Raw genomic sequence first — 25,243 nt, 5'->3', positions numbered from 1 at the left:
GAATGGAATTCCAGGTCTTAAATCTGTAAGACTGACAGACTCAGGTCTTCACACGAGGAAGGAATTATCCTCCAGAGGGCGCACATTACAAAGCCACTCTTGATTATTGAAAAATTCATCTTGTGTTAATGTATTTTTGAGCTTTCAAGTAACTTATTATACACAGCATACCTTTCTTCACTCCTATGCTTTTATGAGACTGTAACAGAATTTTTCATAAATATCTCATAAAGAAATTTGTTACCTGTATTTGGATTTAGAAATAACTATAAAACTATTCTTGTCTTTTTGTGTTTGTTTCCAGGTACTATTCTTAATTTGATATAAACTTGCCCTTTGTAATGACTTAAAGCTGAGAAGGAAATAATCTATATCTTATGACTCATAAGATAATAATTTCCATTATACCAATCCATGTGTATTTTGTAATCCTCATTATTAGGTTGAATGTCCTGGAACTGTGTAACACTCTTGTTTATACTGCTCCACAAAATAGTTGTTTTATTCCAGTTTTCCCTTCTGCCTTGTTTTTTTTCCACTAAGAATTGAACTCATGTAATAGAAAGTCTCATAAAATTATATAAATCCATTTTGTTTTATTTATTTTGATTTGTTATAAAGCTGATTAAGTTAACATTAGTATAAACAGCTGTTGTATAGTGCACATAAGGAAAGTATTCTTATTAACATAATTATATTTAGTGCTAGATGACTTTGCCATGTGTAGATTACCATCCTAGCTGGTTTTAAACCGTGTTACAATAATGAAATTTAGACTTGGGGAATAGAAAAATTAGATTACAGAACCAAAGATTAATAATTAGAACACATCTACGTTAGGTTTCCCTCAGATTTCATGACTAACGAAAGCTTAGCAACTACAGAATTGGGGTCATTAACCAATATTAGGTTGCATTCTTCTTTTATGTTGATTCTATAGAAATTTTAGCTTTCATCTGAAAGAAAGTAATGATTATATTCTGCTATACACTTGATTTTGACTCCTCCTTCCTCCTCTCTTCAACCCCTGGTTTTATATAACAGTTGAATATCAGTGGCATTTTACGTATGTATTCAAGGTTGTTTTGTTTTGTAAAAATATGTGGTTTTTCTGTCTTAACAGCATTCACTTTTTACGTTGCTACGTGTGGGTTTCTTTTCTTTTTTTCTTTTAATATTTCTTTCTTTCCAACACAGGAATACTCTGAAGATAGTAACTCCGAGCCAAATGTGGATTTGGAAAATCAGTACTATAATTCCAAAGCATTAAAAGAAGATGACCCAAAAGCGGCATTAAGCAGTTTCCAAAAGGTTTATATTCTTTTCCATTTGATTCTATGTGTTAATTTTTTTAATGATATGCTAGAACAAATAAGTCCCAGGTGATTTTATCTCAGAAATGTGTTTTGAATACTTAATTATCCTATCAGTTAGCATTAGGCAGCACAAGCAAGTGTTTCAAAACGGTTATCCTGATGTTTTTTCCAATCAAGCTGTCTATGGAGCAGGGCCATTGTCCTGAAAAACTAGGATGGTTCTGGCAGAAGAACCACCAACATGATGGTCAGTAGGTATTATCACTGCAATCTTGTTTCTTTTAGGGGTAAATCATACAGTTGTGGTTTCATTATTATGAATAGCTTGATTTCTTGACTTACTGATACACTTACGGATTATTTTTACCATAGGTTGGTTATTCAGGGGAAAAAATATTTCAGAAACTATATAATAATCAAGAAGTGGCTCTTTATTTTGCTGATGAAGGAACTTTAAGCTTGCTTATCCTTATGTAGGCATCTTACAACTTGTTTTTTTTAAAGACTGAAAAATGACATTGAGAAATGGTGGTATCCTTGGGGAAATGTTTTTTATGCATATAGTATAAAATTAATTCAATACTTACACATTGGGCATCATTAGAAAATAATGTGTTAATATTAAGATAAACTAAAAATTTCTTCCTCTTTTTAGGTTTTGGAACTTGAAGGTGAAAAAGGAGAATGGGGATTTAAAGCACTGAAACAAATGATTAAGATTAACTTCAAGTTGGTAAGATTTGTTTTGAGGGGAATTAAACTAATAAATTTTGTAGGTAAAAACCTCATCACGACAAAGTACTATTATATCTTCTTTTCTAAAGTACTTCTTTGGATGTGTTTTTATATTTAGTCTGCTCTGCAGTTGGGACTATAGTAATACTAAGTAAAAAAAACAAATTCTTCATAGGATACAGAAGTTTTCTATTTAAGAAAACTTACTCTTTTAGATGCATTTACAGTATTTGCCTTTTTTTTTTTTCCCCCGCTCTGTCACCCAGGCTGGAGTGCAATGGTGCAATCTTGGTTCACTGCAACCTCTGCCTCCTGGGTTCAAGTGATTCTCCTGCCTCAGCCTCCTGAGTAGCTGGAACTACAGGCACATGCCACCATGCCCAGCTAATTTTTTGTGTTTTTAGAAGAGACGGGCTTTCACCATGTTAGCCAGGATGGTCTCGATCTCCTGACCTCGTGATCTGCCTGCCTTGGCCTCCCAAAGTGCTAGGATTACAGGCGTGAGCCACCGCACCCTGCCAGGGCTGCATTATTAATAGATTGACTTTTCCACAAAGGATTAGTGTTTACTTTGGAGTTTTAAAATTCTCCTGTTTATTATAAAGAGTTTCTCTTCCATTGACTAGGGCCAAAACGTTAGCATTATGCTTAACTCTTCTCATTGTCTATTACCCCACAAATAATCCATTGGCAAATCCACATGGCTTTACATCCAGTATGACTGTGCTTACCATTTCTACCTCTGCTACTCTGGTCCAAGGCACCATGATTTCTTACCTGGATTATTGAGATAGCCTCTTAACTGGTCTCCTTACTTTCATCCTTACCCTGCTACAGTTTTCCACAAGTAGCAGAGTGATCCTTTTAAAATGTAAGTCAGATTATGCCATTCTTTTGCTCCATATCTTCTAGTGGTCCCCATCTCCCTTAGTAAAATCCAAAATTCTTACCATGACCTACAGATCCCTATGTAAGCTCATCCTTTGCTGCTGTTTTTATTTGCTCCATCACTGGCCTTCTTGCTGTTCCTCAAGTCATCCCAAGCACAATCCTGTGTAAAGGCTTGCACCTGCTGTTTCCTCTGCCTCAGAAGCTCTTCTCTGATAACCATATGGATTTTTTCTTCATTTGATTCAGGTCTCTGCTCAATGGCACCACTTATCAGGATGGCCTTCCCATGACCACCTGATATAAAATAGCATTCTTCCCATCGTCACTTAAATTTCTTCTTTGCTCTTTTTCTTTGCATATGTCACCATGTGATCTATTATTTATTGCTCCTCTTCACCCCACCCCTCCCCCCAAGTAAATTGTAAGCTCCATGAGAGCAGGACTTTGTGTTATTCGTTGTTATAATCTTAGAACCTATAATGGTGACTGTCATTTGGTTGGTGCTCAAATATTTTATTGAATGAACTCATAACTTATTCTAGAGAAACTGGAATTATGACATTATACTCAAAATGTCATTCCTCGGTTTCTTTAAACTGGTAAAGAATACAGGGTAGAAGCGGAGGGAAAAAGGATCAGGAGATGATAGGACTAGGTACAAACATGAATCTTAGATCACTAAAGGAGAAGAACTTTTGAGAGAAAGATGAAGTTGAAGCTCAGATGAGCAGGGAGTGAAGCAGTTGGAAGGTTCAGGAACTATGGCAAATTGAAGAATAGCTGATATGTTACCACTTTCTTTTTCCCCTGTTTTTGTATTTCCCATATGATATGTTTCCTCCACCTCTCCATTAGCTTCTCTATCCCGTCTGACTAGTACTTGTATCCAGGTTAACTTCTACTAATCTTGTACCTCTTCTTTTTGAGGTACTGTCACTCTGGTATGGTTTATCTCACCTTTAATAGGAGGGGCACTCCATGGCATCTCCTACAGAAGCTGTTGACAAAATGTCTTTGTTCATTTCTTCCCCAAAATACATCAGAACAATTCAAAACATGTTAAATGTTATTAAGTATATTGTATATTGCACTTAAATCTAGTTAAAGAATGAAAATTATCTACATTATATTTACCCTTTCTACTCCTACTGCTTTGATACTCTCAAAACATTTCTATGTTGCCCAGAGCCCCATGCTTTCTTTCCATTTTCTGTTTGCAAGAATATTAAACACAAACATTTACTGTATTCAGATTAATAACTTAGAAGGCTGTGGAAGAAGCACCAAGTGTTTCAAGGGACAGAAATTTGTGATTAAACAATTATAGTGCCATTAGGGGCTGAATGTTTAACTCGTAGGTTCTGTGATTTGAGATAATACCAAGAGTCCCTATAGAAATCTGCTATTTTAACGTACTAGCAGTGGTTTCGAGTCCATTTGAACACTGTGCTACCCTTAAGACTTGGTTTTGCCATTTTACCTTGAGCAGAGTGGGAAGGAAGGGAGAGGGTTTTTTGCATTTTATGTTATTTTGTTTACCTTATCTACCTTTTGTTTGCTGTAGCAGCATCTGTGAATAAGTTATGGTTCACAAGAGTGATTTCAGCTTCTGTACCTGCCCCTCTCGTTTTCTGATTGGACTCAGAGTAGGAGCTATGTTATGTGTGGTGATTTTATAGTAAAAAGTTGGAAGGGTTCACTATCAACTTCTCTGGGACCAATTTACCTACTCTTCCTTCAGTCTTTAATTAGAATGTAATTGTTTTTTAAATGAGCTATAAATTATTATAACATGAGATAAATTCAAAGCTAACTTTTTTTTTTTCTTTTGAGATGAAGTCTTGCTCTGTTGCCCAGGCTGGAGTGCAGTGGCGCAGTCTTGGTTCACTGCATCACTGCAACCTCTGCCTCCCGGGCTCAAGCTATCCTCCTCCCTCAGCCTCCAAGTAGCTGGGACTACAGGCGCATGCCACCACACCTGACTAATTTTTGTGTTTTTTGTAAAGACGGGGTTTCACCATGTTGCTCAGGCTGGTCTCAAACTCCTGGACTTAAGCAATGCTCACAGCCTCTCAAAGGGCTGGGATTACAGGAGTGAGCCACCAAGCCCAGCCAAAAACTGTAACTTTTTGCAAAACTCCTATTTCAGTGCCAAGATACAGCTTCAAAGTTAGGATAGTCGTATTTCTCTGATTTCCCTTTTGCTGCAAGATATGTACTGTAATGTGGATTTAGCAGCTCATTGACAGGATGTCACCTATCATTTACCCCCACATGAAACTTGGAAACAGAAGTGGTTTTATATATGTATATATTTCCATAGTTCTATCCTTTTTTTTTTTTTGTCCCATCCACCTCTGCTGTTTTCTTTATTGTAATTCAATTCTTGGTTAGGTTTCAGGGATTGTTCTCAAGTTTTCTTGTTCTTTGTGCTGTGCCTCAGGGCAGAATGTATTGTCATAAGCAAGATAATTGCAGCATTATTAGTTTATTCCTCACCCTAATAAATACATATGTTCAGTTAGTCAAGGAAAGAAGCATTTGTATCTGCCAATGCTTCATGTCTTTGATAAAAAAAAAAAGAAAATAGAACTCAGTAAAAAGAGAGGTTAACAGCAATTGCAGATTATGAGGATTGTGGATGCAGGTTATAAGGTTAGACTTATAAATTGACTTACAGGATATACTTAGGAATGGTAAACCTCTCCCAGAATAAGTCTCAGTACTCCTTTATTTTTTAGACCTTTCTTGTTTCCTGGAACAACCTCAATAGTACAAATACAAGGAATAACAACATTTACTATATCTACTTTTGAATAGAACCTTAGATGGGGGGTCTTTTCTTGACTTGAAACGAGTATTGAGGCTTGAAAAAATTGTTTAATTTCACATTTTTATATATAACCAGCCAGTTGTAGGGAGAAAAGAAACAGGTAACTCTTATTGCAGAGCTTCCTGAGGAAGGGATAAAATTACAGGGAAGAATATAGCTAATATCCTGCATAGCAGGTACCCAAGGCATTTGAAAGCTTGGATTTTGGCCGAGTGCAGTGGCTCACACCTGTAATTCCAGCACTTTGGGAGGCCAAGGCGGGCAGATCACCTGAGATCGGGAGTTCAAGACCAGCCTGACCAACATGGAGAAACCCTGTCCCTACTAAAAAAAAAAAAAATACAAAATTAGCCCGGTGTGGTGGCACATGCCTGTAATCCCAGCTACTTGGAGGGCTGAGGCAGGAGAATCGCTTGAACCTGGGAGGCGGAGGTTGCGGTGAGTCAAGATCGCGCCATGCACTCCAGCCTGGGCAACAAGAGTGAAACTCTGTCTCAAAAAAAAAGAAAATACTTGGATTTTATTTGTATGTTTTGGCTTATGAATATTGTAGTAGGTTTTATGATTTAAATATGTTGTGCAATGACAATTTCTGAAATTTGGAAAATTTAGCAGTTGTACTTGTTTCATAAGCTAACTTTATACATTTGGTTTGAGTAATCTAGTCATTTCAAATTTAAGGTAATTACAATGTTCCTGTCATACATAGTTCCTCTTTTACAAAACTATATCAGGAACTATATGAACTACATTTCATTATGTAGTAGTGTATTCTATAACCTTAATCATGTGTACATATTTTAGTACCTAAATTTGCATCTGATAATTCATTTTTCTTTTCTCACAGACAAACTTTCCAGAAATGATGAATAGATATAAGCAGCTATTGACCTATATTCGGAGTGCAGTCACAAGAAATTATTCTGAAAAATCCATTAATTCTATTCTTGATTATATCTCTACTTCTAAACAGGTTAGACTCAATTTTCCCCTCTTGGGACGATCAGTGTGTTTATTATTTATAGTAAGGGCTTTGTTCTTTATAGATGGAAAGGCCTAGAGCTTCTATTTAAGTAGTTGTGCTAGTTATTAGTATGCTTTAAAAATGATAAGTACTATTTTCCTGGTTATATTACTGATTATATAATAGTAAAAGGTAATAACTCCAGCTTGATCTCTTTAAATAATGCCTTCAGATGCTAAAATCTGTAAACAACTTTTCAGGCTTATGTTAGACTCCTATACAGTTGCTACCACAGGTCCTTCTAATAAACTACATTAACACTTTAGCTAGCCATTCTGAGGTGTTAAATACACTGAATCACAGGTTATTTGTGTGGATTTGGTTATATTAAAATCTTTGAGAAGTGCCTGTGCTCTTATCAGTTAGTGTTTGGCATTACTCAACAGGTGCTCAGTAAATGCTTCTGCAAAGGATGGGTGGATAATGAAAGAAGAGCTACTGATGAAAGAAACTAAAGAAGGTATTGGGAGTGATAGTGCTTTCATTATGAGTCTAGATTTTGGTTATTAAGAAAACCAATGATTATTTTATATATATTTTTGCTAAGATAATTTTTAATTGGATCATTTGTCCTTATCCTTGTAAGCAGTATAGTCCTCAGTTTTAGTTTTTCGTCCTCTTACTCTGTGATACTTGAGTACAAGATATAGTCTCTATGTCATTTAGTATTTCTTAGAATATTTGATACTTTTTGTACTCGTAATCAAAGAATGTTCAGATCAGAATCAGCCTCATTTAATGTCTTTTCTACTAGATGTCATTTTTTTCAGGCAGTTTGTACTCTTTACATTTAAATTTTATGTAATGCCAATAGAGGAAGGTAAACTTACATGTTTTGTTAGAATATTAACACTTAATGACACTAATTCTAGAGTTAAGCTATATATCATGGAGCTTTCCTAAAGTGGGAAAATGTTTTCCAACTCTTAAAAACAAGTGTCATCAAAACATATTTTGTATACTGTTTATAAATATTATGCCAGTAATTGGAGCAGGGAGAGGGAATCGAGTGATTTTGAAACTTCAGGACTGCATGCTCTGTGTGTGGTTATATGTAAGGTTTTTGTCTTTTGAAAGTAACAACAGATATTGGGTGGGTGGTACTCTGTTCTATTCAATATGCCATCAGCAGTCATGCATAAATAGAGAGTGTTTTCTGAAAATGTGAAATTTTCCTGCTCTTACAGTCCTCTTCTTGATCCTGTTAAGCAGAGAATTAGATATTCAAACAAAGGCAAAGCCAGAAGCGGGGGGAAGAGGGTGGGCAGGGGAACTTAACAAGATGTAAAACAAATAATGATTTCCGTGAAAAAATGCCACACAGATTGGTGATTTGGTGGTGATTAGACATAGCTAAAATTATACTAGACTTTTCTCTCCACCCACCTCCATGGTTTACCAGTGACTTAAAAGCTATGCAGTTGAGTTACTTAGTCATATTTATAGAAGAATTTTGAGGGAAGGAGCTTATTCTTTGTTTCTTCACCAGCATGCTTAGTGTTTGCCACATTGTAGGCTCCAAATAAGAGTTGAGTGAATAAGATATACACTGTTAGTAATAATACAACTAGTTCTATGTACATTTCATTTACTGCTGTTAATATGAAATGAGTGGCTGATGTGAGTGGAGTGGTATTTACAGCTAATTGAGCACAACCAGTTACAGATTACTTTGTTCCTTCTCCACTCCCACTGCTTCACTTGAATAGCTTTTTAAAAAGTAAAATAAAATACAGAATGTATTATTAGATTGGGAAGGACAAACGTGTACTATTACAGCATGAGAACTTACAGCACTATGTTTATATGGGGAAATATTTTCTGGGTTCTATAAAACAACGCATCATGGTACTTGTAAATTTGGTCTGTATTTTGCTTCAGTTTGTTAATTTTTTGGACTGTAGAAGACAGTAAGATACAGATAGTGTATCTTATGTGTATTAAAGTTCAAAGATGCACTTTTAGTTTGTTCAAATTAACTTTATTAACAGGTACAAATTTGCTGTTTACAATTATAGAATTCTGATTTTTTATGTCAGATGGATTTACTGCAGGAATTCTATGAAACAACACTGGAAGCTTTGAAAGATGCTAAGAATGATAGACTGTGGTTTAAGACAAACACAAAGGTAACCGTTATAATACTTACACTTTTCTTTTGAAAAGTGGGTGGGTGTTTTTAATAAAGTCTCCTAAAGATGCACATCTTCTGTTGAAATCTTGATTTTAATAAATTTGCTTTCTTGCAGCTTGGAAAATTATATTTAGAACGAGAGGAATATGGAAAGCTTCAAAAAATTTTACGCCAGTTACATCAGTCGTGCCAGGTAGCTTTCCCTTATTTTTTTCTGAATATTTCTTCATAATAAAAAAAAAGTATAAGCAATAATTATATTCAAAATATTGTTTAGGGATGTTTTAGTTTAAGCATTATCTGAAAAATAAAATTTAGAAAATAAGTTATAAAATTATCTTTTTTTTTTTGAGAGAGAGGGTATGGCTCTGTCACCCAGGCTGGAGAGTGCAGTGGTGCGATCTTGGCTCACTGCAACCTTTACCTCCTGGGCTGAAGCAGTCTTCCCACCTCAGCCTCCTAAGTAGCTGGGACTACAAGTGCACACCACCATGCCCAGCTAATTTTTTGTATTTTTTTGTAGAGGTGGGGTTTTGCCATGTTGCCCAGGCTAGTCTTGAACTCCTGAGCTCAGGCGATCACCGCCTCGGCCACCCAAAGTGCTGGGATTACAGGTGTGAGCCACCATGCCTGGCCCCTCAATCTTTATTCTTTGTCTAATGAGGTACCAGTATCAATAAACAAACAGGCCTATTGTAATACTTACTATTATATTGATATGTAGTTATATACCCTGTGAAAACAGAGCCAGGATATTACAAACGTGTAATAAAGATATTTTTATATTCCAATTTATATGAATCCTAGCAGCACTGTCCAACAGAACTTCAAGTGATACTGGGAATGTTCTATATCTGTTATCAAATATGGTAGCACCAGCTATGTGTAGCTATCAAGCATTTGAAGTATGGCTATTGTGACAGAGGTACTGAGTTCTTTATTTTCTGTAATTAATTACTTTAAATTTGAAAAGCCATATGGTCAGGACAGAATGGCTCTATAACTTTTTAACCAGGCTTTCATTTTATATTCCCTTTTTTGTCTTAACCAAATACATCATTTAATACTAGTTTAAATTGAATGTGGAAATACTGCTTTAAATATTTTTAAACTCTTCCAATGCCACGTACTACTTTTTTTCAACCCCTCCCCACGCTTGCCACCATGTAGTATTATTTTAATGATATATGTGTCATTTCTGTGAATGGGAGAAACGATTAAGAAACTGTTCTAAATGAATCACCTGCAGATATTCAATAGTTTTGTTTTGTAAAGCAGATTAGTCACTTAGGAATTATTTCTTATCTACACATTGTTAAGATGCTTTAGTCTGATGCATAACCAACTGGAGGTTCAGTTCCCTATGAAATGGAAATGCTGGAACAGCCATCTCTGAATGGTGGAGGGTCTTTCAGTATGTATATAAGGAATTTGAGAAAACCCTTTGAAGAAGTTTTGCTTTAAGAACATAAAAATGCTATCAGGATGGTAAATAGCATTATATTACTTAGTACTTTGATGGAAGTATGTTCAGGGAAAGATGCAGGATACTCTAGATGTATAAATTGTTTTGTATATTGTATGTTTTACTCTGGTTATGATTCATTAGTGAATAATTAAACAGAATTTTAAGTTTGAAGACCCAATAAATTTTGGCTTAGTGTATGTCAGTGTGAGATATTTATGAATATCTTCCTGTTGATCATATTGCTATTTTTCATGGCCCACATTTCATGGGCTGTTGGTCAACTTTAAAGTCATGCTCAAATGTCAGCACTTTTTTGTGATTCCTGTGACGTCCTCCAGGAAGGTTAGTCCCTATTTCATTCTCCTAGGCACTTGGTTTATGCTTCACCTAGTCATTGTCACTTACATTGTAATTTATCTACTGACAGATTAATCTTCTACTAGAGTGTGAACTTTTTGAGACCGGGAACCTTGGCTTTTTTAACTTTGTATTTCCCCATGACAGACCCAGTGCCTGGCATGTGGAAGGGACTTAGGAAGGGCTTTTTAATTGAATAAGTGGTTCTAAAGCAGTTGTGAAGATTTTGGGAAGACAATAATAAATCTCCTAGATAAAAACATAAACATTAAAACATTTCATACGTACAGCAGTCCTCCCAACCCTTATCCACAGATTGCTTTCTTCAATTTCAGTTTCCTGTGGTCAGCTTATTTCCTGTGGTCTGAAAATAAGATATTTTGAGAGAGAGAGATCACATTCACATAACTTTTATTACAGTATATTGTTATGTGTTCTATTTTATGATCAGTTATTGTTAATGTCTCACTGTACCTGATTTATAAATTAAACTTAATCATAGGTATGTCTGTATAGTAAGTTTTCACTTAACGTTGTTAATAGGTTCTTAGAAACTGTGATTTAATGTTGTTTTGTTCAACACTACATTGATGAGGGGAAAAAATGATTTCATTGTACATTGTTTTGCTTAAGGTCATGGTTTCCAAGAACCTATCGACAGTGTTAAACGAGGACTTACTATATAGGAAAAAACATACTACTATACATAGTTTCAGGCATCCACTGGACGTCTTGGAATATATTCCCTGTGGATAAGGAAGGACTACTATAAAAAAAACCTTTGGCTACTTTTTCCTTATCTCATAACTAAAAAGTAGAAAGGATGTATTAGTTTCTTTTTGGCCATTACAAGTGGTATTCTTAGTACTGTAGCTCCCAATTAAAATTTGTGTTGTGTTTTCACATGGAAATAGTATTATAAATGTAAGATTTCCAGGCTAATGCAAATAAGAATTACTGTCTGAATTCTATCTTGTCTAAAGTTAAATATTTGCTTTCCTAGACTGATGATGGAGAAGATGATCTGAAAAAAGGTACACAGTTATTAGAAATATATGCTTTGGAAATTCAAATGTACACAGCACAGAAAAATAACAAAAAACTTAAAGCACTCTATGAACAGTCACTTCACATCAAGTCTGCCATCCCTCATCCACTGATTATGGGAGTTATCAGAGGCAAGTTTGGTTTGGAGAGGGTGGGCAGTGGCATGGGGAGATATCAAAGTGTTTAATTAAACTCTTGCTTTTTAGAACTTCAGTGTATACCTTGGGGCCAGTAGTATTCAAGTTACAGAATTTAAAAACTGAAAGGCACTGAAATAGTTTTCATTTGGCATTTATGAGGTGGTCAGTTTTGTTATTACAGAACTGAAAATGTCCTATTTTCTCATGTCTTATTCTTCACAGAATGTGGTGGTAAAATGCACTTGAGGGAAGGTGAATTTGAAAAGGCACACACTGATTTTTTTGAAGCCTTCAAGAATTATGATGAATCTGGAAGTCCAAGACGAACCACTTGCTTAAAATATTTGGTCTTAGCAAATATGCTTATGAAATCGGGAATAAATCCATTTGACTCACAGGAGGTACGTGTGTTTTAATTGTTAATTTCTCTTATCAGCTATCTGGAAATAAATGTTATTTCTTTTTTTAAAATGTTGTTTCTTTGTACATATATTTAATTTTTTTCTTTACTGTGTTTAGGCCAAGCCGTACAAAAATGATCCAGAAATTTTAGCAATGACGAATTTAGTAAGGTAAGATTTTGTATTTCAGTTAAGGTAAATTTCCTTAAAGCAGTTCATAAAGGAAAGAGTGAGAAAACTTTTCAGAACTCAGTTAATATTCAACATTTGCCCTTTTGTATTTTCTTAGAAAAGTTTGTAGAATTTTTATCTTCTGAGGTTATTTATTACGCTATTTTCTGTAGCCACAAGATTTTATAAAGTATCTACTTAGTTTTCCTATTATCCATGTGTGTGTGTCTGTCTGTCTGCGCACGCACGAATGCACCTGTGTCTTTCAGTGGAAAACTGATTGTGGATGTCTTAAAACATTATTTCACAATGATACTGCCTATACCTCTCTTAATCCAGAATGAAATTACGAACTAGTCCAAGATGAGTCAAGAATTTTCAGTAAGACAAGACAGCATAAGCATATTTTTTTACTCATATATTTTCTCAATGACAAGATGAAAGTATTTTTAAAAATGTTTACAATGGATAGGCTGGGCGTGGTGGCTCACGCCTGTCATCCCAGCACTTTGGGAGGCCAAGGCGGGTGGATCACAAGATCAGGAGATCAAGACCATCCTGGCTAACACGGTGAAACCCCGTCTCTACTAAAAATACAAAAAATTAGCCGGGCGTGGTGGCAGGCGCCTGTAGTCTCAGCTACTCGGGAGGCTGAGGCAGGAGAATGGCATGAACCCGGGAGGCAGAGGTGGCAGTGAGCTGAGATTGCGCCACAGAACTCCAGCCTGGGCGATAGAGCAAGACTCCGTCTCAAAAAAAAAAAAAAAAAATGTTTACAATGGATAATTTTCTGAGGTGGAGTGTGGGGTGACAGAAGGGTCGTACTGGTAAGAAACCCAAGATTTATTGAATGATTCTGTGGAGGAAGATGTAATGATGGTTAACCACTGAAGAACCTACCATAGTCAATTAATATTCGACAAAATTATGGAAGATAAGACCAAACAAAAAACCTAGAAGAAAAGGCCCATTTTTGCAAAAGGAATTAGTGAGTAAGAGAAACTTTCCTCCAGGCATAGAATAAATGGAACCCAGGGTTTTTGTGGGTTTTATTCATTAAAAAAGTATAAGAAATTTACTAAATTTCTTCAAGTCTTTTATTTTAAGTTGTACAGCTGAGTTTTACCACAGCTGGAAAAATGTAGTTAGGGACATGAAGCAGGGCTTTTTTTTTTTTTTTTTTTTTTGCAGATATATGTAAATAATTTAGGTGACCAGAAGTTCTATTTATAGTACTTTTTCATTTAACAGAAAACACTATTAGACTGTACATTATGGGTCACCTACATATAAATTGTGTATACTTGGAGAAGATAGCTTATTTCATGATATTAAAGTTCCTGTGTAAAATGTCCTCATTTAACTTTTTTTAAAGAAACCTTAATTTTGGCTGTAAAAAAAAAAGCGTTTTTTTTTAGGGGGACTAAGAACAGTTTGGAATTAAAAACCTTAAGTTACCACATTAAATCAGTTTCTTTATTGTTTACTTTATTTTAATTTATTTGTTGAATTAGGTTGCTTTTCATTATTAAAGGAAACGTCATCTTTATTTCAGATAGTTTATTTCATTCACATTTGGTCACATTAACTAAGAACCAAAGTTGTTTATAATGTTAAATTGCTAAGCAGCAGTTTACACTTTTAAAACTCTAAGAAATATTGAGGAAAAGCTTTACCCTAGACATTGATATTTTGTATAAATTAAATTGGCTAAGTACATTAAAATTGGTTAAAGGACTGATTTGTCAGACCTTTATCTGACCTATATCAGAATATATAATGACATTTATAAATTTATTATATCCAACTACTCCAGCAAAGCCACTGTATTAGAACTCAAAACTTATTTTAATGGTAAATTTTGACCCACATGATGTGATGCATGGTGTCCCACAATTTTGTATAAGATGTTTTTTTTGAAACCCCACTTAAGAAATGGAAGAATGTCTTACGGTTAAAATATGTATGTACACAAATATAAAACAAATGTTTGTGCAAGTGTTTTCAATGCTTGAATATGTCCTCCTATAGTATATTACAGCAGTGTATTTGGGGTAGGTAAGAAAGTAATGCTTCCTAATTTTGTCTTCCTAGTCAGTTGCCAGGAGACTAGAGGAAAATAATTCCTGTCAAAGCACTTGAATCACGTGCCCCTAATATGAGGTTACATTGGGACCCAACAGATGGAAGCACTAGCAGAGGGCGTGCAGTATAGCTGATGATAATGTCTTACGTATAAAGCAGACAATGGTGCCATATCCACAAGGTTGGATTCTTCCTTCTCAGCACCTTTAGCAATTCCCATAGAGCTTTACAGAATTATTTCAAGAGGAGATACTAGATACCTCAGAGAATTATGAATATAAATCAGTCTTTGGCCTTCTGCAACAGGGGATTGAGAAATGTTCCTTTTGAAAATTTTCACAGTTGCTGGTAGCTTTCTAGAATATAAAAATTAAGAAGCTGCATTTTCTGAATAACCTACACAGAGGATATGCTTTCTCATTTGAAAGACGAGGCTACACCCCTTCATGTAGTGTACATGAAGCCTGGTTCCTTTCATTATGAACAATTAGGAATTAAATGCACAATTTCATTTGAAAACATCAAACATTAAATAGTTGTTAAATGTTTTATTGCCAACTTTTAAGAGAAGTAAGATATTGAGGTGATTTTAATTAACTTTGTATAAATATAGTATATAACCCCAAAAGAAGATTTATTTAATCTTTCTTTTAAAAAACCAAAAGCATGAAAAGGAAATTTATGTTTTTTTTGGCAGAAGGTTATGTGTGCTTGTTTAACTGTGATTTCCATGACAGAAAGTATAATATTATTTAGATTTTTGCATATGAAAGTTGAGAAGCAGGGTCTTTGGATTATCTGATTTAATACATAACTTCTTCATGTTTGACATAATTTACACTTTGTTTTTCTATTAGTGCCTATCAGAATAATGACATCACTGAATTTGAAAAGATTCTAAAAACAAATCACAGCAACATCATGGATGATCCTTTCATAAGAGAACACATTGAAGGTATGTTCTTTCTGCCAACTGGATTCTATTACTTTCTTTGCCACTGTCAAAGAAATGCCACTTAATGAAGCTGCATGGCATTAAGCTGTTTTCTTTCTGTCTATTGCAAAGTATAGATATGTTTCTAAATGCTGTCATTGGATGGGATATTCCTTAAAATTATGAAGCTCTTTTAAAGAAATTGACCAATTTCATATTACTATAGTCAAGTTTATATATAATGTCCATTTTGTTTAAGGTAACTGTCCCTTTTTAAAAAAATCTAATATAGATGCTGTTGCATGTTTATTATTGATGCTTAGGTTCAAAGTTAATTTTTAAGGTTTATTTTTGACAAATAACAAAAGTTATGAAAATATCCTGCTATAGATAATGCTAAGATATATGTACTATGAAAGATAAGGCAACACTGTGAAGGTTTCATACCAGTAAGTGAATGAGGTTTTTAGCAAGTTATATTGAATTACCAAAGACTACAATCATCTCTTTGCTCTTGGACTTCTTTTATAGCTCCGATTTTCCCACCTATTATGGAGCTATTTGAAGGTTTTTAAATGACCATTTGGAACTAAATTTCAGATGCATCAGAAGTAATGTTCTGTTCCCCATCTTTCTTTCTCTTTTAATCAACAGACATTTTAAAAGTTCTTACATGAACCTGGAATGATACTGCAGTTTATAGATATAGAAAAACGTAGAATCTTTGTACATGAATTTCAACCTGGTTTTAAAAAATTTTAAGAACTATTGTACAGACAAAACTGGAGGAAATTGTAAAAGCATTATATAAAATATAGTACTCTAGGTTTTGAGAGAGTCTAAAACAAGGAACTTGGCTGGCTGGTATAAATCAGAGCTTCTTTAAAGATATTAACTGTTGAGGAAATGATAAGTAGTGTAATATTGAGAAGGCAAAATAATATTTTAGTAGAGTCTCAATGTCAACAAAATCAAGGAGGTGGGAACAAGAAATTATGGGATAGGCAGCAGCTGATCATACTGTCCATCCATTGACCCAGGTATTTTAAAATCTAAACACTTTATATCATTGCCAAGCAGGAAGATGTATTTTGAGAAGATAATTAGGAGTACATAATGATCCATAAAGATATCATACAAACTGTTAAATAAAATGTTATTTTAATTTTTTGTCTTTCAGAGCTTTTGCGAAACATCAGAACACAAGTGCTTATAAAATTAATTAAGCCTTACACAAGAATACATATTCCTTTTATTTCTAAGGTACTTATATTCATAGATTTTAATGATGTTTATAATTTATAGTTATAAATGCAGTATACCAGTCTTGCATTTAAGAGTCACTCTAACTTGGTAACATTTTATTATAATAATACATTTTTTAAATTAAACATAACTTAAGGGCTTTACTTTTAATCATTTTTTTTTTTTTTAAGAGACAGGGTCTTGCTGTATAGCCCAGGCTGGAGTACAGTGGCTATTCACAGGCACAGTGTGGCACACTGTAGTCTTGAACTCCTGACCTCAGGCAGTCCTCCTACCTCAGCCTCCTGAGTAGCTGGGACTGGGCTTTACTTTTAATGTGAATTTTTCTGTTTTCTTGGCATAAATTGAGTTAACAGAAAAGAGCCTTAACATTGTAACAAAGAAATTAGGAATCACTAAATTTCTTTTTAAGGATTCTTTCACCCTCAGAGAAAATTGTAGGGGAAAGTAGTGGCTAAAATATGTAATTGATGAAGGGTTAACTTCAACCACAATAAAATTGTTGCAGGAATGTGCTTCAGAAGTTAAAAATTTAAGTCTTTATCATACCTGTGTTCTCGGATATATTTTGAAGTGATAATGAAATATGTTTAAAAATCTTCTCTTCACTAATTTTCCTTTAAGTGATAGAAATGAATTAAAATTAGAATGATTGTGTAAAATTATGAAGTCTTTAAAATGTTAATTGGTATATAACAAGTCTTTTGTCTTAGGAGTTAAACATAGATGTAGCTGATGTGGAGAGCTTGCTGGTGCAGTGCATATTGGATAAGTAAGTACTTTACTATTTTTTATCACAAAATATTTGGTACCGTAAGTTTTGAATAATAGTGACAAAGGTAACAATTGGATTCTTGATTATTCATAAAAAGCACCCTTGGGTATGGTTTTCTATTAGAAGAGATATATATGTATGTGTGATGGTTTTTGATGAATGAGCGTATTAAACACATCTCAGAAAAAGTTCTAAATGATTTTTCAGAAGGATTTCTTATTATATACAGCCAAAGAATTATTTAATGAATAGTATTTATGTATGTTTTTAAGTATAGGGTATGTGGTACATAACATTTTTGAAATTGTATCTTACTTGAAAACAGTACATTGTTTAAAGCTTCACAGGTGATACTTGCCTTTGATTAATCGGATAAATCTATGCCTTATGGGTCTTTCAGTGAAACTGATGAAAAGTATCTGAAATCTGGTTTCTATCTAGAGTTTGAATAACACAGTGAAGTTAAAACTAACACTGAACTCATTTAATGTAGGCAGCTGCTTTTTTTTTGGCATTTGTTGATACTGTATTTTATGAAACATTAATCCAGAAACTGTGCTTGATGAAAGTCTTTTGTAGACACATCTTATTTATTTCTTTCTAGCACTATTCATGGCCGAATTGATCAAGTCAACCAACTCCTTGAACTGGATCATCAGAAGAGGGGTGGTGCACGATATACTGCACTAGATAAATGGACCAACCAACTAAATTCTCTCAACCAGGCTGTAGTCAGTAAACTGGCTTAACAGAGAACAAGCTTTTACAGACGTCCTTAAGGCAACAGTGCAGAGATGTAATCCTTAAAAGAACTGGGAATGGCAAAACTACTGTCGGTTGATGTGTCCTGAAAATTATTGGAGTTATGGCAGAAGTGCTTTTTTGATCAACTGGTTTGTGTTTTGCTGCTGCATTTATCCCAAGAAAAACAGCTTTAATCTCCAGAAGAAAACCAAAATACCATGGGATTTATGCTGTATTGACATCTTGCCCTAAACGTACAACATCATAGTAATTTGTCATGGGCAACATGACCAGAGAGAAGATTTTTGTCATGATTTTAAATACACTGACACGCTACTGTTGGTTAAATTTAAACATGTTTTACCTGCAGAAATTCTCTCACAAATAACCTGCAATAACTTGAAATGCATACCCTTTTGAACACTTCCTTTTCTCATGTATAAATTAAAATGTTTGCTGCATTTTGCAAAATGTCAATTCTCTAAAAATGTGTCCGTATATTTCTGTACCTGCAGTGTAGTAAAGGTTTAGACGAAACCCCATAATTATAGTGGCATACTGTCACTTAGGTTTCAAGCAGCAAAATAAACAGTGCAGCTCAGAAATTGTAGTTTGGTTCTTGATGTGTTTTTATTACATTTGGAGTTGTTTTGTTTTTTAGTACCTTCGAAATTTCAAATTATTTTATCTTCAGTTAATGATTTTAAAAAGCCTGGGGGCAAATAAGTTGGTTATTTGCTTTCAAGTTTTTAAAAGTAGTCTTTATTGATAGAGTAAGGAGAACTACTTTCTAACAAAACACGTGCATAGTTATGACAGTGATGCTTTAAAGGAATAAAATTCTTTTTTTTTAAAGAGTGATATTCCTTTTCAAAAGAATACTAACTCTCAGAATGTTCACTTTAAACGAATATGCCAGAACATAGACAGCTAAATGAATGTTACTCTGCATAGTGATCATGCTGGAAGGTTATTTCCTAATGCCAGCAATCTACCATTGCCCAAAACCTGCTGAGTTTACTCTTTTAGAATTGCATTCAAAGTTAATTTGTCACACACACTAAACTTTATGATTATACATTGTTTTAAAAAATATAGTATTAGGAAGCTTGATTATTTTTAGTTACCATTACTTGGCACCAAATGAAAGTTTCCAAAACTTCCACCTAACTTTGAGGTAATGCAGAAAGTATATAACTGGCTTTGAAGGCAATCCCAAAAGAGTTTTAAAGGTTTTTTGAGCAGTGGCAGTATACTTAGGAGAATGAACTGTGGCCTTCCAAGGTAACTACCTTAAAGGAACTCAGCTCATTTGAATGTATTGAGTTTTGGATGTATTTGTTTCATTTTTTAAAAAGTTCACATTATTTTATAGTGTCGAAAGGAAGAACTAGGATTAACATAATTTCTTTGGTTTTTCTATTGCTTGTTATTATTATGTAAAAACTGGGTGGCAGTTCAGAAGGAAGATTGTGGTTACAGAAGAGTGACAACCAAGAATTTTTTGATCATTAAATCAGATTTTATAAACAGTGGAAGGAGCATGGACTTAAAACAAGGCATGCTTATTCGGTTTTGTCAAAATTTTACGAAAATATGTGATATATATTTATACTAAAAATATATAATCCTTAGATTTAGAAAAGCAATCAGTTAATGTCTTTAGCAGACTAAAGCAGTATTAAACACAGGTACAAGTTGGAAATTGTAGAAAACGGAAAGAAAACAAAAGACAAAATGTCTATGGTAGGGAATAAAAGTTTAAGATATTATAAAATTATGTGTATTTTCTCTTTTACATAAATCATTTGTGAAAAGTGTGCTAAACTTTTTTTACAAGAGTGATATTAATTAGGATTTATTTTTCAATATAATTTGGAGACCCTTTGTTATCCAAATAAAAATGATGAGTTTTTGTGCCTGTATTCAAATATGTATGCATGTGATAACCCTTGAAAGCTAAAGCCCTTCTTAACTTTTGAGTTGATGGAATTAGAATTCAAAGATTTGAATGAAATGATTTAACCTTTATCCTCCAATTCTTACAGTGCCCAGTTCTCCTGTGCTATCTTTGCTTTGTACAATAGTGCATCTTCCACTTTCTAGAGAGAAAGCATGCACTTGTTATTTGGAAAACTGGGCTAAATATATAACAGTATCCAAAGTTATACCATAATAATTTATTGTAATTGTGTATTACATAGCTTTGTTTACCCAGATATAGGTGCGTTCTTTTTTTTCTGTTAGTCATCTGTGACTTTTGTTCTGGAATACAGGTTTTTAAATATATCTTAACAGTCTGACTAACTTAAAATAATTTATTCTTCCCTTAAAACATTTTTCTGTGTTTTTGTGCATCAAATATTGTAGAGTTGAAATCTTAGAGATTGCTTATCGAAATATAAATTTAGGGGAAGTTAAAAATCGATTGGCAAATTTGTAGCATTTATTCACTGATTAAATCTTTTCCACTTTTGTGAAAACCATACCAGTGGTTTACATCATATTGTAATGTGTTCATCTCATTCTTCTTTTTATCCCTAAACCTAGCTAAAAGTTACTGCAAAGAAATCTTTGGCTGCCACAAGTAGATGCTCTCTACTACAAGAGCTGGATTTCCATTACTCACTCTTGCTCTTACATTAAAGTTGTTGATTAAATACTTTTTCTCTACATCTTAATGTAACATAACTGATTTCTTTTTAAAGATGAGTATATATGTACTAAGTAATGCTCTCATTACATGAGTCCCTTCTAACTACAGGCTGATACATCTTTCAGGAAAACTGAGAACCTAATATTTAAGTGAGGCCTATTTTAAATGAGCTATACTGTGGGTGGTAGTGTTTGTTACCTTATGTAAGACTTAGGTTTGTCTTAGACTGAAAAACTCTTATTCTTAATATTTAAAATATCCATGATGGTAGAAATTTTGTGGGAAATTTTCTTTTTTAATCAATAGTTACAGTTCTTCAGTAAACACAGGTATGTATGCTTTTGTGGTGTCAGTGTCAGTCTAAATCTATGGGTGAAGCAGTTAGTCCATAAGACAAAAAATTATTTGCCTAGTGGATTCCCTTTACCTCTTTTTAAGAAGCTCAGAGATCTGTAATCATTAATTTACTAAGGATTTTTTAAAATATTATTTTAGTCACTTTTAAACCTGAAAATTTCTCTTTTGATTTAGATTTTTGAAGTGAGGCTTGAGCATACACAAGTAAAGCTGGGAGTTTCATTCTTCATATGGGATTTATGACTAAATATTTCTAGCATTTTGAAGAAGATAAACATTTTGAACTGAAGTATATAACAAAAAAAGGAATTTGACATTTAACTATTTTGTATCAAAGTGTTTAAGAACACTATCCAGAACAAGAGATGGAGTATCAGGTTTCAGAATGTGACGCAAAAGGCATTTGGTCTTCATTTATGTGACCACAATTAAAATTTTCCTCTTTTTTTCTTTTTCTGGAGGTTTTCTTTTAGTTTTCATTGTTTTAGGTTTTTTTTTCCCCCAAATCAGCATCCTATTTATATTTGTTTGATACGGTTTTTTTGTTTTTGTTTTTGTTTTGCTTTTTTTGGAAACAGTTTCGCTCTTGTCACCCAGGCTGGAGTGCAGTGGCGCAATCTCAGTTCACTGCCACCTCCACCTCCCGGGTTCAAGCGATTCTCCTGCCTCAATCTCCGGAGTAGCTGGGATTACAGACACCCGCCACCACGCCCAGCTAATTTTTGTGTTTTTAGTAGAGACAAGATTTCACCATGTTGGCCAGGCTGGTCTCAAACTCCTGACCTCAGGCGATCCACCGCTTTGGCCTCCCATAGTGCTGGGATTACAGGCGTGAGCCACCACGCCCAGCCTGATACAGTTTTAAGCAGGAATTTGGCAGAAATTTCGTAACGAAGACAAATTGGAGGTTCTCTTTAACTCGAGATTATTAAATTTATAGTAACTTCTTGGGCCATTAAAATGTGAGTTTAAATGCCATTTGGAGGATTTGTGTTATATTAAGCACCACAAATTTAAACTGTCAACTAGTGATTCTACATGTTTCTCAAAATGCTAAAGTTTAGCATCACTTACTTGCTTTTGAATTTTAAGGAGATTCGTCTTAGGTAATGTCTCAGAAGAAACCAGTGTGTGGTTCTCTAAAATTTTACTTTTTTACTGTCACGTATAATAATATCTAAACTACCTGTAGTAGTTAAAAATATTACGGCATCAAAGGTATATGCCAAGTGTACCTTAAAACCCTGTGACAGGAAAAAAGAAAAAATTATTTCTTAAGTACTTACTATTCGGGGGCAACTTTGTTCCGTGTTGGCAAAATTATGAACTTTGCTCAGAATTTCCACATGAATAGCTGACCAAAACTTTTTTGTGTGCATATGTATACATATGTAATAAGTGAAACATACTTGTGGGAGTACAAAATTCATCACCAGTTTATCACAGTAATTTTCCAGTTTTCTATTTTACTTAATATCACTTATTTCTGACACAGGCAAATGTCATATGCCATGAAAAGAATTACCAGTGTACCAGTAACTTGCGTGTTATGACTAGGTTTCATGTGGAAGACTGTCCAAATTTACATAATCTAGAGTAATTTTTTAATTCTGAAGTAAGGGCATTTTAAAATTAATTGCTAAAGGTTGTTTTATTGTACATCCATTTTATGGGAGTTTAGAGTTTAGAAAAAGTAATCTCTAGCGTCATCCCATGAAGTTGTCAAAAGTTTTGGCATGCTTATTAGCAACATATTAATGCCAAGTGTTGAGTATCTAATTTCTGTTCAAATGTTTGCCTATCCCTTACTGTTTACGACAGTAATAAATTTTTATGCATCTATTTTAAATAACACTGAAGAAAATTAAAATATATTTCAAGAAATGGAGCAATGACATGGAAAATAGAAAGTTGTTTGGTTTTGCAATGTGTTACATAATTGGTTGCATTATAAATTTTCTCCATTTTGTTTATGATAAGCTAATATAAAAGGTATCAAATTCCTTGAGCTAACACTAGGTGGGAAGGAAGTAGTAGGTGATTAGGAATGTAACAGGATGTCTGCCTGAAATGGTCAGTTCCACCAATTAATAATTGAGAACTGATTATATGTGCAGGATGTGTCATAAGATGCTGTAAGGCTTAAATACTCAAGGGTTTTTTTATTTATCTGGAAGTGCACATTCCTTATTGGTAATAAAAAATACGTAATCTACTTCTTAAGTATTTACTGTGTTAACATTAGTTACAATGCTCAAGATCAGCACAGTAACTTTATGTTTGATCTAGTACTTCAAAAATGTATACTTCTGTAAAATAGCTGTTGAATGTTTTAAGAATGCTTCTCTAAAGTACTGAAAATCTTGTTCATTTGGTTTGAAAGGATTTTAGTATTTTCCATGTTTAAGATTACCTTTTTATTATGCTTTGAAGCATTCATGGAGGAGCTGTTCTCTCCTGAGCTGTTTAATTATCTGACCTGGAACAATTCATGTTTCAAACAAATGTCTCAGGAATTATTCCTTCAGTATAAAATTAAACACTTTAAAGCAGGAAATTAAGCCAAGGAAAGACGTGGGGTAAGAAATGTTCTCTCCCAAGCTTTGTAAGCCTTGTTATGGTGCTTTAAAATGAACTATTTAAGGACTGCAACATCTAAGAAACCACTTGTGAATTTATTATATATCTAAAAATAATGTTCTCAGATGTAACATTCACCTGGTGGAATGGACCACCCTAATCTCAAAGTACAGTGATAACACAATCAGACAGCTCTTGAAAGTCAAAAGAACTTTCAGACTAATAGCCGTATAACCAAGGTTCCAATGTAAGTGTCTAAAACTAATGTCACTGCAAATTGTCATTGCAAATCCTTTGGCCTTCCAAGTTGTGGGAGTAGAAGAGGAGTGAAACAGATTAGCTACTTCTATTTCAGCTGCATTTCACACAGCAGTGGTAGGTGGTATTATGTTGATAGCATTAGCCCAGCAAGAAACTACATAAGCAATATACATCTGACATTTGAGTTATTTTATTTGTGGTACTTAATGGTTTTATATTCCCAACTCTCAATTTTTAGAGTAATGAATGGAATTTTTTTCTTTCTTTCCAGAAACCTATTTTAAGCCTCGGATTATGAACCACTGTAGGTTAGTGGTCTTCAACTGAAGAAGAGTTACCTAACTCAAAAAATAAGTTTTGTGGCCAGGCAAGGTGGCTCACTTCTGTAATCCCAGCACTTTGGGAGACCAAGGTGGGCAGATCACTTGAGCCCAGGAGTTTGAAACCAGCCTGGGCAACATGGTGAAACCCCATCTCTACAAAAAAATATAAAAATTAGCCAGCATGATGGTACGAGTCATAGTCCCAGCTTCTCCAGAGCTGTTGTGGGAGGATCACCTGAGCCCACGGAGGTTGAGGCTGTAGTGAGCCATGATCATGCCACTATAGTCCAGCCTGGGTGACAGACGTTGTCTCAAGTTTTGGGACTAAATATAGATGATAAACTAATGTACTAATTGGGTAAGGTAAGGTTGGTTGTTAAAACTTAAGTCACTGTCATTATTACCGTCTTTACCACCAACAGGTAAAGAAAGGAATTCAAACATGCTAGAATACTAAAAGGGTTATATCCTTTCTCTAACCGCTTAATCTATTGAGACAGGTATTTATTGTGCCTACCATGTGCTAGGGACCATTCTAAAGTTGAAGAATACCATATGGAATAAATTATCCTTGTGCTCAAAGAGCTTAGCTGTATGGGGAGAGGCAGATACACAAGTTGATTTTAGAGAAAAATCCTATCAATAAAAGTTTATTTCACACTTAAATGAGGAAAGAAGCTGGACATGCAGATCTAGAGGAAGAGCAGTTCAGGCAGAGGTTAAGTGCATATTCGTAGAGATGGGT

At 34.2% G+C, this 25,243-nt stretch overlaps 1 protein-coding gene across 2 annotated transcripts in view; it reads left to right on the top strand.

The window, feature by feature from the left end:
• The window catches only part of COPS2 (COP9 signalosome subunit 2), a 32,873-nt gene extending 9,324 nt beyond the window's left edge, over positions 1–23,549 (top strand). Inside the window, exons 2-13 of one of the 2 annotated variants that reach the window (NM_004236.4) lie at positions 1,198–1,311; positions 1,972–2,049; positions 6,623–6,748; positions 8,839–8,928; positions 9,049–9,126; positions 11,762–11,936; positions 12,168–12,346; positions 12,465–12,517; positions 15,460–15,557; positions 16,717–16,799; positions 17,516–17,574; positions 18,182–23,549. In NM_004236.4, the coding sequence (NP_004227.1) occupies positions 1,198–1,311; positions 1,972–2,049; positions 6,623–6,748; positions 8,839–8,928; positions 9,049–9,126; positions 11,762–11,936; positions 12,168–12,346; positions 12,465–12,517; positions 15,460–15,557; positions 16,717–16,799; positions 17,516–17,574; positions 18,182–18,326 (1,278 nt within the window). In that variant the 3' untranslated portion in view covers positions 18,327–23,549. Of the gene's footprint in view, positions 1–1,197; positions 1,312–1,971; positions 2,050–6,622; positions 6,749–8,817; positions 8,929–9,048; positions 9,127–11,761; positions 11,937–12,167; positions 12,347–12,464; positions 12,518–15,459; positions 15,558–16,716; positions 16,800–17,515; positions 17,575–18,181 lie in introns of both variants that reach the window. The other variant, NM_001143887.2, reaches the window with a different exon arrangement.
• Positions 23,550–25,243: the final 1,694 nt, after the last annotated feature.

The sequence above is a fragment of the Homo sapiens genome, chromosome 15, assembly GCF_000001405.40.
Source record: "Homo sapiens chromosome 15, GRCh38.p14 Primary Assembly".
NCBI lineage: Eukaryota > Metazoa > Chordata > Mammalia > Primates > Hominidae > Homo > Homo sapiens.
This window is presented reverse-complemented; position numbering and strand designations above follow the sequence as displayed.